General features: G+C 44.1%; 1 protein-coding gene across 46 annotated transcripts in view, besides 1 other annotated feature; it reads right to left on the reverse strand.

Moving 5' to 3' along the window:
* Window positions 1-12,595, reverse strand: part of ENOSF1 (enolase superfamily member 1) — a 49,645-nt gene that overhangs the window by 29,523 nt on the left and 7,527 nt on the right. For 25 of the 46 annotated variants that reach the window (NR_148710.2, XR_007066185.1, NR_148709.2 and 22 more), the window contains exons 3-5: window positions 4,732-4,847; window positions 1,740-1,826; window positions 1,374-1,400 (exon numbers count right to left, since the gene is read on the reverse strand). Coding sequence is in view for 21 of the 46 variants with exons in the window: in XM_047437612.1 (XP_047293568.1) it covers window positions 1,374-1,400; window positions 1,740-1,826; window positions 4,732-4,847 (230 nt within the window). In the remaining 25 variants the exon portion in view is untranslated. Of the gene's footprint in view, window positions 1-261; window positions 1,242-1,373; window positions 1,401-1,739; window positions 1,827-4,731; window positions 4,864-12,595 lie in introns of those variants that run through there. The other 21 variants (XR_007066189.1, XR_007066188.1, XR_007066190.1 and 18 more) reach the window with 5 other exon arrangements.
* Window positions 5,104-5,236: a silencer, noted in NCBI's record as "fragment chr18:697612-697744 (GRCh37/hg19 assembly coordinates)". NCBI's record gives its function as "represses an EF-1alpha promoter that drives an FKBP-Casp9 reporter gene in an ReSE screen in HepG2 liver carcinoma cells {active_cell/tissue: HepG2}" and the evidence as "EXISTENCE:reporter gene assay evidence [ECO:0000049][PMID:32094911]".

A 12,595-nucleotide genomic window follows, 5' to 3' on the forward strand; every position in this document is an offset into this window, starting at 1 on the left:
GAGACAGGAGAATCGCTTGAATCAGTTGCAGTGAGCTGAGATCATGCCACTGTACTGTAGCCTGGGCAACAAGAAGAAAACTCCGTCTAAAAAAAAAAAAAAGAAAGAAAGAAAAAAAGAAAAAAGAAAAGAGTACTGGCATTGAAAGGGAACAGGATCCAAAAATGGAGGGTCCACAGGTGGGACCTCAGGCACATTTCTGGTGGCCTGCAAATCATTCCCTTTTGGTGGCTACCTCCTCCATCCCCGTAAAACGCCAACCTTGAATCTAGAAGGGGGCTCAAGAGCTCTGTGTCCTTCCCCTACGGATGGCCCGGAAGCCACTCTCCATGTCAGAGACGATGTGACAGCCTCCTGTCTTCACTTTCCTCCGGAGGAGGAGCAGTCTCCTGCCCAACACTCTTCAAGGCCATGGTGTTCTTTGTTTTTCCTTAATTTTTTGCCAACTAATAACAAGGGCCTTCATTTGTGGATCACGAGGTTTTTAACCGCCACCCAGGTGTTGCACTGAGGCCACCGCAGCTCAGAGTGGGGAAGTCACATGCTCAAGGTCATGCAGCTGGTGAGCAGTGAAACCCGGACTCACAGCCAGCTCTGCATGGGGTCTGAAGCTCATTCCCCTTTAATTTGCCCAGTTTTTTCCTCCTCAGCATCCAGTTGTTCACCCCTGCTATGAAAAGGTCAAGGAGAAAGAAAACAGTCAAGTGCATAGCTTTAGAATTCAGTGTTGAGCTCCTTCCCTGCTGGAATTGTACAGTAGAGGCTACAATGGCCTGATCTTATTCTTGGTGTCAAAGTGACTGGATAGTATCTTTTCTTTTTTCTTTTTTTGAGACAGGGTCTTGCTCTGTCACCTGAGTGCAGTGGTGCAATTATAGCTCACTGCAGCCTGAAACTCCTGGGCTCAAGCCATCCTCCAGCCTTCCAAAGTATTGGGATTACAGGCTTGAGCCACCATGCCTGGCCTGGATAATATCTTCATAATATTATAACATCTGGCTTTTCAGAGTTTATGAGGTGCTTTTCTCATTGATCTTTAATTTTGTGAGGTTCCTAGAGAAGTTAGGATGATCCTCTTGTCATAGTCAGGCAATGGAGGCTCAGAGAACTGGCACCGTGTGTTACACATGCACAGTGGGGGAGGCAGGACCCCCTCACTGCTTCCCCTCATGCCACCCTGCCTGCATGAGCACAGCCATCTGTTACGTCAGATATCAGAAAAGGAATGTCATATTTTATTGGCTTTTTGCTTTATCATCGCTATAGTGATCAACAGATAGTCCTGAATATATTTACTGATCATCAAAAGGCATGTCATCAATGATATCCATTTCATTTACAGAAACAATTGTAACATTAACAATGCTACTCACCATGTCCACAAGTAACTTCCAGACAGGCTTGAAGTAAAAAAGAAAGGATTTGTAAGACATATGTGTAAAGTCCCCATTTTTTCCTGACAGTAAACGCGTTGGCAGCTCTAATGCTGGCTGTCAGCCACCAGGTCCCCACACCCCCCTCTACTGCTGCCTGCGCCTTCCGCCATCCTGTCTCCTCTTTCTCCTCCTCCTGCAGTTCCCTACCTACTGCCAAAACCTCTCAGAGGAGAAAAAAACACCAAAGCAATTATCTGTATTTCCTTTTGGGGGCTGCAGTGTGTCTGTCTTTCCTCTGTGCGTAGGGAAAGTCAGTGTCGTACAGCTCCCAGGAGCCTCCTGAGCGTTTGTGAGAGGGGTTACCTTTCCCTCCTGCTTGGCCCACAAGTCCCACACCGCGTTTAGGACGGCCGCTGTCGCCAGGTGCACCACGCCCTTTTCTGGACCAATCTGGTTAGGAAGCAAAGTACAAAAGCACTTTTTAGAAATGAAAAAGAGGGCTGGGTGTGATGGCTCATGCCTGTAAACCCAGGACTTTGGGACCAAGACCAGCCTGGCCAACATGGTGAAACCCCGTCTCTACTGAAAACAGAGAAATGAGCCAGGTGTGGTGGTTTGTGCCTGTAGTCCCTACTCAGGAGGCTGAGGCAAGAGGATCTCTCGAACCCAGAAGGCGGAGGTTGCAGTGAGCCAAGATCGCACCACTACACTCCAGCCTGGGCAACAGAGCAAGACTCTGTCTCAAAAAAAAAAAAAAAGAGAGAGAGAGAAAGATATTTAGGTCTTCCGTCCAGGGACACATCTCAAGAATTAAAAGGTAGCAATAGAAACCCACCTAAAGGTTAAGTTTAAAAAAAACAGTTGCTAACCTATTGAAGAGTTTTAAGAATAGCAGGAAAAACACCTGTGTTTTCCTCTCTTCTTTCTCTCTCTCTATATATATGTTAAGTATATGTATGTATATACATATGAACACACACACATATGTACTTCTTTTTTCTGAACCATTTGAATAAAGTTGCAAATATCATGCTCTCTTAACCCTAAATACATCAGTGTATAGTTCCTGAAAACAAGGATATTTTCTTACATAACCGTAGTACAATAATCACACTCAGGGAATATAACATTGATAGAATATTGCTGTCTAAAGGCCAGTCCATAATCAAATGTCACCAGTTTTTTCCAATAATGTATTTTATTTTACCCTAATCCATATCCCATCTGGGATCACGTATTACATTTAGTCGCCATGCCTCTTTAGTCTCTTTTTACCTGGAATAATTTTTCTTCTTCTTTTTTAAATGTTATTAGCATTTTAAAAGAGTACAGGCCACTTGATTTGTACAGCATTCCTCAATCTGGGCTGATCTGGAGTTCCTTCATGACTAGATTCAGGTAATACATTTTTTGGCATCAATACTACATAAGTGATTATGTCATTTTGTTTTATTATTAGGATTGTTAACTTTTACCACTTGGGTAACTTAGTGTCCATTTGCTTTCTCCACTGTGAAGTTACCATTTCATTTTCCAAGTAAGGAGGTTATTATTGTCCCAAAATTTGGGCATCCCTTGATGACTCTTGCCTCAATTAATTGTAGCTATGACAGTTATGGTGATTTTCTGATGTTATCATTCCTTTTATATTTATTAGATTTTAATCAGCTGTAATGGGCTTGACCTTGTTGTTTATTACCTCCTTAAAAATTTTTTATTTTATTATTTTTATTTTTAAAAAGTACAGACGGGGGTCTCAACTATGCTGCCCAGGCTGGTCTTGAACTCCTGGCCTTAAGTGATTCTCCTGCTTCAGCCCCAAGGTGCTGGGATTATAGGCGTGAGCTACTGTGCCCAGCTGATTGTTCATTATCTGAATGGACTCATGGATTTTATTCAATGGGTTATAAGCCATTACTATCATATTTATTTGGATGTTCAAATTGTCCCAGATTCAGCCAATGGGAACTTCTTCAAGGTGACATCTTTCAAGGTAAGTTTAATATTCTCTGTATAAAGTAAAAGATGAAATCCCAGGCACTATTGAAAGTACATTCTCTTGTGCCCTTCTCAGTGCATGGATGGGAGACTAAGCCGGGTTAGGAAAAGACAAAATCCAGTATCACGGGACAAAGGCAAAGGTCAGGGTATTGAATTCACCTTATTGTGTTGGAATCCTTTCTCCAGAGCCTAACTTTTTCATGCCTTGAATTTATAGTTCAAATACCAAACACATAAAAGGTACCATGGTCTTCCATCTTTTTAAATTTGCTCTTCTCTTAATGTTTTCTCTTTAATGACCTTCTTTTACATCTCTCTCTTTTTTTTTTTTTTTTTTTTGTTTTGAGACAGAGTCTCACTCTGTTGCCCAGGCTGGAGTGCAGTGGTGCGATCTCGGCTCACTGCAAGCTCCGCCTCCCAGGTTCACGCCGTTCTCCTGCCTCAGCCTCCTGAGTAACTGGGACTATAGGCGCCCGCCACCATGCCCGGCTAATTTTTTGTATTTTTAGTAGAGACGGGGTTTCACCATGTTAGCCAGGATGGTCTCGACCTCCTGACCTCGTGATCTGCCTGCCTTGGCCTCCCAAAGTGCTGGGATTACAGGAGTGAGCCACCGCGCCCGGCCTGACCTTCTCTTACATCTCTAACACTACTCACATTATTTCTCCATAAAGAGATTGCCCATTTAGTACTTTATCCTCTAGAGCACTTTCCAATTCAGGGAGGAGGAGATGAGGTCCTTAGAGAAGAGATAGCTCTTAGGACCCAAATCTCAGGACCTCATCTCCTTAGTAGAACATTTTATTCAGCTAAATTCAGTCTTGAGTCATTTAGATCATCAGTCTTACAGAAATGAGTTGTTTACCTCAAAATACTGATGATCTAAATGACTCAAGCCTGAATTTAACTGAATAAAATGTTTTACTTTAAAATTATAAACACATCTCTAGGATGGGCATGGTGGCTCACACCTGTAATCCCAGCACTTTGGGAGGCTGAGGAAGGCGGATCACTTGAGGTCAGGAGTTCGAGACCAGCCTGGCCAACGTGGTCAAACCCCATCTCTACTAAAATTACAAACATTAGCCAGGTGTGCTAGTGCATGCCTGTAGTCCCAGCTACTCAGGAGGCTGAAGCAGGAGAACTGTTTGAACCCAGGAGGCGGAGGTTGCAGTGAGCCAAGATTGCATCACTGCACTCCAACGTGGGTGACAGAGTGAGACTCCATCTCAAAAAATAAATAAATAAACAAATAAATAAACCCATCTCTATTTTCACATTCGTTGCACTCAAAGGACATCTCAGACCTTGGTAATATTACTTATGTAAGCATTTTACAAAATAGGTCCCTTACCCATCTGAGCTGCCCATCACTTGTGAGCTGCCTATAGAAGCCTCTGAAGTCACCAACAATGTCCTTGAGGTCCTTGTTGAGCACATGGTGGGCGAGGGCATTCACAGCACAGACAACTATTTAAAAAGGATTGAACTCTTGTTTATGCTTCTATACTAGGTCAAGAAATTAGCACCTGAAAACATCACAAACAAACAAATGTGAAAGTTTTATGAAAAAATTAAATCTAGGCCAGGCGCGGTGGCTCATGCCTGTAATCTCAACACTTTGGGAGGCCACGGCAGGAGGACCACTTGAGATGAGGAGCTCCAGACCAGTCTGGCCAAAATGGCAAAACCCTGTCTCTACTGAAAATACAAAAATTAGCAGGGCACAGTGGTGCGCACCTGTAATCCCAGCTACTCAGGAGGCTGAGGCAGGAGAATCGCTTGAACCCAGGAGGCAGAGGTTGCAGTGAGCCGAGATTGCACCACTGCACTCCAGCCTGGGCAACAAGAGTGAGACTCTATCTCAAAGGTATATTCTTTTTAAAATTGCATCAAATATGTTTTCTTTTCTTTTCTTTTCTTTTTTAGGCAGGGTCTCACTCTGTCACCCAGGCTTGAGTGCAGTGGCACTATCACGGCTCACCGCAACCTTGACCTCCCCGGCTCAGGTAATCCTCCCACCTCAGCTTCTCGAGAAGCTAGGATTACAGGCATGTGCCGCCACACCTGGTTAATTTTGGTATTTTTTGTAGAGACGCAGTTTCGACATGCTGCCCAGGCTGGTGTCAAATTACTGCGCTCAAGTGATCCACCCGCCTTGGCCTCCCAAAGTTCTGGGATTACAGGCATAAGCCACTGTGCCCAGCCCCATATGTTTTCTGTGGTTGTCATAAGAAATATCACACAAGTAGAACACGTGTTAATCCATATACTGAGCTAAACTTCCTGAGTAGAGAACACATTGTGATTGGCTGTCACATGAAAAACAGAATCATAGATTGACAAGTTTAAATATAAATGTTCCCAAATTATTTTCCTATTCACTTTGTAAAGTGTTTGAACAATCAGATTCAAAACCAAACCACACTAGTTCATGTTCCTAAGGAATAAGAAGGCTGACTTCATAGAATTTTTAAAAGGAGAAATGCCTTTTCATTATTGACAAGTATAGAAAATGCCTTGAATTCATAACATAAACTATTAAACATTAAATAAAATGAATTTGCAATTAGCATACTATTTATATGTAAAATGTTAAAATATATGAAAACACTGTCTTAACATGAAATTTCTTACTATTGACTTTCTTATGATATACTACATTTTTCATAAGTAATTTGAAGGTTAAATTTAATTTGGGTCGGCATTACCATCAATTATTTATTTTTGGTACCTTTAATTATTATTTTTTAGAGACAGGGTTTCACTCTGTCACCCAGCCTGGAGTGCAGTGGCGGGATCTAGGCTCATTGCAATCTCTGCGTCCTGGGCTCAAGTGATCCTTCCACCTCCGCCTCCTGAGTAGCTGAGACCACAGGCTTGAGCTGCCATGCCCAGCTAATTTCTTGTATTTTTGGTAGAGACAGGGTTTCACCATGCTTCCCAGGCTGGTCTCGAGCTCCTGAGCTCAAGTGATACACCTGCCTCGGCCACCAAAATTGCTGGGATTACAGGCCTGAGACACTGCACCCAGCACCTCACTGTAATCTTGAATGCCTAGCCTCAAGCAATCTTTTTGTCTCAGCCTCCTGAGTAGCTAGGACCTACACGCAACACCACACCAGCTAATTTTTAAATTTTTTGTAGTGACAAGGTCTTGCTATGTTGCATGGGGCAGTGGGTGGGGAGGTTCTGGAACTCTGGGCTCAAGCAATCCTCCCACCTCGGCCTCCTGAAGTGTTGGGATTACAGGTGTGAGCCACCATGTCCTGTGGTATTTTACTTTGAAAGGATTTCTTGGACCTGGCGCTCACTCCTGTAATGCCAGCACTTTGGGAGGCTGAGGTGGGTGGATCACTTGAGCTCAGGAATTTGAGACCAGCCTGGGCAGTGTGGCAAGACATCATCTCTACAAAAAATACAAAAATTAGCCGGTTGCGGTGGTGCGCCTGTGGTCCCCGCCTCTCGGGAGGCTGAGGTAGGAGGATCACTTGAGGTAGGAGGATCACTTTAGCTTTGGAGGCAGAGGTTGCAGTGAGCTGAGATTGTGCCACTGCACTCCAGCCTAGGTGACAGAGCTGGGCCCTGTCTCAAATAATAATAATAATAATAATAATAATATAAAGGCTTTCTTGGGTTATTTAAGATGATGAATAAGTAAAGTAACCCTTTGATCCTTTGCCAATTCTAGGAAACATTTAGCCTACGTTGTGTAAATGGACACAATAATTGAATCAAGCCATCAACTTAGCTTCAAAGAAAGGAATGTATTCCAAAACGTTTTGATTAATTTGTTTGGTGCTGCCGTGGATTCAATAGTAAAAGTTTTTAGTCATTTAATAGGACAGTTGTAGGGGTACAGTTTTACTGTCAATAAGATCTTGAGAAGGACAGTTTGAAAGTGGTGCCCCAGGCTGGGCGCGGTGGCTCACGTCTGTAATCCTAGCACTTTGGGAGGCCAAGGCCGGTGGATTGCCTGAGGTCAAGAGTTTGAGACCAGCTTGGCCAACATGGTGAAACCCCATCTCTACTAAAAATACAAAAATTAGCTGGGCATGGTGGCAGGTGCCTGTAATCCCAGCTACTTGGGAAGCGGAGGGAGGAGAATCACTTGAACCCAGGAGGTGGAGGTTGCAGTGAGCCAAGACCATGCCATTGCACTCCAGCCTGGGCAACAAGAGCGAAACTCCATCTCAAGAAAAAGAAAGAAAGTGATGCCCCAAGCTTTTAGCACATGCCTGGCTAAGGGTGAAACAGCTCTCGGATGATTGCACACTTTAGGTCAGATGTAGCATTTAGGGCTGAACCAGCCATTCCAGGTTCTCTAGGGCTTTTGTTAATGGGATACACAATCATTCTGGTTCAGACATTCATTCCCTAGAATTGTGAGAAGACAGAGTCCTCCTCACTTCTTGAAGGTTGATGCTCTTGAATTAAAGAAAATCTGAAGTAAGTCAGTGACTCACAGTGAGGTACGTTATTATCGACACCAAACCACCGTCTCAAGGATTTGATTGTTGCTATAAATCATTGACTGAAGCATACCTCTGGTTCATGTCACAATACCAAATGCACTTAACAAAAGCTAAGGATGATCTCATTTTTATGACTCTCAGAGTGCACAAGCAGCACTTATGTATTCATCTACAGTGTATGGATTTTTCTTGCTCAACAGGAGACTAGAATTTGTCGCATTCAATAGAAATTTGGGTTGTGAGGCCAGGCACGGTGGCTCATGCCTGTAATCCCAGCACTTTGGGAGGCTGAGGCGGGCGGATCACCTGAGGTCAGGAGTATGAGATCAACCTGATCAACATGGTGAAACCCTGTCTCTACTAAAAATACAAAAATTAGCTGGGTGTGGTGGCACATGCCTGTAATCCCAGCTACTTGTGGGGGCTGAGGTATGAGAATCGCTTGAACCTGGGAGGCAGAGGTTGCAGTGAGCCAGCCAAGATCACGCCATCGCACTCCAGTCTGGGCGACAAGAGCGAAACTCTGCCTCAAAAAAAAAAAAAAAAAAAAAAAACAAGAGAAATTTTGGCTGTGGCAGGAAATTGACTTGGAAAAGAAAAAAAAGGCCCTTGAAAGCAGCTTCTTGGCAACTAAACCCGGGGGGTTTTCTCTTGTGATTCTATCTGCTCAGGGACTTCAATTCTCTGGAGCCTCTAGCACTGGAAGGACATTGAGTAAAGTCTGTGGGTGACTTGTGGGTGTCTGAAGTAAGAGTGGTGTCATAAACTCTTAAGGCTGGATTTTTAAAAATTTTGTCTATTTAAAAATTCTTTCTTTGTACATCTTTTTCTATTTTTTAAAAAACTAACTTAGTCTACATTGTACATATTATTATACATGTGTCCAAACCTAAGAGTGACCCCTATTGTAAACTACAGACTTTGGGTGATCATGATGTGCCAATGCAGGTTCATCAGTTGTACCAAGTGGGCCACTCTGGGCAGAATGTTGATAATGAAGGAGGCTGTGCCTGTGTGGGGACAGGGGTATGTGGGAAATCTTTGTAACTTCCATTCAGTTTTGCTGTGAACCTAAAACTACTCTAAAAAAATAAAGTCTTAAAAAAAAAAAAGGCTGGCCACGGTGGCTCACGCCTGTAATCCCAGCACTTTGGGAGGTCAAGGCGGGTGGATCACCTGAGGTCAGGAGTTCGAGACCATCCTGGCTAACATGGTGAAACCCCATCTCTACTAAAAATAAAAAAAAAATTAGCCGGGCGTGGTGGCAGGTGCCTGTAGTCCAGCTACTGGAGAGGCTGAGGCAGGAGAATGGCGTGAACCCAGGAAGCAGAGCTTGCAGTGAGCTGAGATCGCGCCACTGTACTCCAGCCTGGGTGACAGAGCGAGACTCCATCTCAAAAAAAAAAAAAAATTAGCTGGCGTGATAGTGGGCACCTGTAATCCCAGCTACTCGGGAGGCTGAGGCAGGAGAATTGCTTGAACCTAGGAGGCAGAGGTTGCAGTGAGCCGAGATCACACCACTGCACTCCAGCCTGGGCAACAGAGTGGGACTCTATCTCAAAAATAAATAAATACATAGATAAATAAATAAATAAATAAATAAAAACAGAAACAGGCCAGGCATGGTGGCTTATAGCTTATGCCTGCAATCCCGTCACTTTGGGAGGCTGAGGCAGGCGGATTGCTTGAGCTCAGGAGTTCAAGACCAGTCTGGGCAAAATGATGAAATCCTGTCTCTACAAAAAATACAAAAATCAGCCCAGCATGGTGGCAGGCACCTATAGTCCCAGCTACCTGGGAGGCTGAGGCAGGAGAATCGCTTGAACCTGGGAGGTTGTTGTTGCAGTGAGCAGAGATTGTGCTACTGCACTCCAGCCTGGGCAACAAGAGCGAAACTACATCTCAAAAAAAAAAAAAAAAAAAAAACCCAGGTCAGGTGTGGTGGCTTACATCTGCAATCCTACCACTTTGGGAGGCCAAAGTGGGTGGATCACCTGAGGTCAGGAGTTTGAGACCAGCCTGGCCAACATATAGTGAAACCCTGTCTCTCCTAAAAATACAAAAATTAGCTGGGCATGGTGGCACACATCTGTAGTCCCAGCTACTTGGGAAACTGAGGCAGGAGAATCGTTTGAACCTTGGAGGTGGAGGCTGCAGTGAGCCAAGAATGTGCCACTCCACTCCAGCCTGGGCAACAGAGCGAGACTCTGTCTCTCAAAAAAAAGAAACATTAGCTAGGCATGGTGGCTTGTGCCTGTGGGCCCAGCTACTCGGGAAGGTGAGGTGGGACAATCATTTGAGTCTGGAAGGTCAAGGCTGTATGAGCCGTGATTGCACCACTGCACTCCAGCCTGGGTGACAGAGCAAGACCTTATCTCAAATAAATTAATAAATAATAAAAACTTTAAAAACATAAAAAAAGGATAAAAATGAATATTAATTAAGTAAATTTAATAAAGTCATGATTTAAAAAAATACCCAACCAAAAACTACATTGGTATATTCTATACATTTGAAAAACAACCCTCCCTCTCTGTCTCACACACAAGCACTCTCTTCACAGTAACCCTATTTTTTTAAATCATAAACAGATGATTAGGTAAGTAAGCAGAAGAACCAGGATGAGCTAATGGAATTTTTCATCTTTAGTGTGAGTGCTGTGTAACACATTTAGTGAGACTGCAGTGAGTCACCTGAAATATGTAGCAAGGTTAAAGTTAAAATGGGTTCTGTCATGTTGTGGTCTGAAAAAGGAGGAAGCCAAAACCCTTAGCACAAAAGAGTCATTAATTAAAGTCATGGAGAGATGGAAGTTGATTTATCCGTGCCTGAGACATCCACCAAGACAGCGGTGTGGGGCTGGGAATGGAGGAGGAGAGGGGAAGTGAAGGCCCTAAACACTGAGCTCAGCACCCATCCCAGAAGGGCTTCTTATCTATCTTAGTGCCCAGGGCCCCTCCACGTGTGCCCAAGTCAGCAAAGTTTAAAGTCTGGGCTGTTAACAGAGAGTGGGTCCAATGGCCTAACATTATCTTGTAAGCTCGCTGAGTTTTATGCAACCTTTGGGGGCTGTGCTGTAGGGTTTGCAGTATGGAGAAAGGCAGCGGCTTCATAAAGTACTCAACTTACAAACAAGGGACAATTAGAGTTGCAGAAGAAGCAGAAACAGCTCACAGCTCTGTCTTAGTAAGTGGTTACTACTCTGGGGAAAACTTTAACAGTAAATTGTTTACTTAATGGAGAAAAGCGGGACTGACTCACAGCATGGTCTTTCTCTGCCTGGCAAATTCCTGTTTGCTCTTCGAGACTCACCTCAAAGCATTACTTCTGCTCTGAAGCCTTCCCTGAGCCTTTTGGACAGAGTGAAGTTACCCCCTGAGATGGTTTAGACATTCTGCACAAATTTCATGTTGAAGTGTAATCCGCAGTGTTGGAGGTGGGGCCTGGTGGGAGGTGATTATTAGATCTTGGAGGTGGATTTCTCCTGAATGGTTTAGCACTATCCCATTGGTACTGTCTTTGAGATAGTGAGTGAGTTCTCGTGAGATCTGGTGACTTAAAAGTGTGTAGCACCTCCCCATTCCCTTTCTCTTGATCCTTTCGACATAGGACGTGCCTGCTCCCCCTTCACCTTCTACCATGATTGTAAGTGTCCTGAAGCCTCCCTAGAAGCTGAGTAGCTGGCATCATGCTTTCTGTAAAACCTGCAGAACCATGAGGCAATTAAACCTCTTTTTCTTTATAAATTATCCAGTCTCTCGTACTCCTTTATAGCAATGCAAAAATAGCCTGGCTCAGAGTGGTGGTTCATGCCTATAATCTTAGCACTTTGAGAGGCCAAGGTGGGCAGATCATTTGAAGTCAGGAGACCGGCCTGACCAAACATGGTGAAACCTCATCTTTACTAAAAATATAAAAACTAGCCGGGCGTGGTGGTGTGTGCCTGTAATCCCAGCTACTCGGGAGGCTGAGGCATAAGAATTGCTTGAACCCGGGAGGTGGAGGTTGTAGTGAGCGAGATTGCGCCACTGCACTCCAGGCTGGGCAACAGAGCAAGACTCTTGTTTCCAAAAAGAAAAGAAAAAAAAAAAAAAAAAGAACAGCCTAATATATCCTCTCTCTGTAAAACTTGTACATAGTTTTAAAAAACAGTAATTCTCAGACTGCACTATGATCATTTCTTTTATGTCTACTTCCCCAATAAGTTCGTGTGCTCCTTGTATGTGGGATTCTGTCTTCTGTATCTTTTTTCTTTTTTTTTTTGGGATGGAGTCTCGCTTTTTCACCCAGGCTGGAGTGCAGCGGCGCAATCTCGGCTCACTGCAAACTCCAACTCCCAGGTTCAAGCAATTCTCGTGCTTCAGCCTCCTGAGTAGCTGAGATTACAGCCATGCATCACCACGGCCAGGTAATTTTTGTATTTTTAGTAAAGACAGGGTTTCACCATGTTGACCAGGCTGGTCTTGAACTGCTTGACTCAAGCAATCTGCCCGCCTCAGCCTCCCAAAGTGCTGGGATTACAGGCCTGAATCACCACGCCTGGCCTATCTTTCTCTTTTTAAAATTACTTTGGTGCCTGATACATGGCAGCACTCAGAAGTCTGCAGAAGGACTGACTTGCTGGACAACTGACCGCCAGCCCTGTGAAGAGCAGTAACAGCAGCCACCTGGGCAGTGTCCATTGAAAGTTCAAGGAAGGTTCCCTTGCCATTCGCACATACACACACTCACAAACTCACACAC

Source organism: Homo sapiens, chromosome 18, assembly GCF_000001405.40.
Source record: "Homo sapiens chromosome 18, GRCh38.p14 Primary Assembly".
NCBI classification, from domain to species: Eukaryota; Metazoa; Chordata; class Mammalia; order Primates; family Hominidae; genus Homo; species Homo sapiens.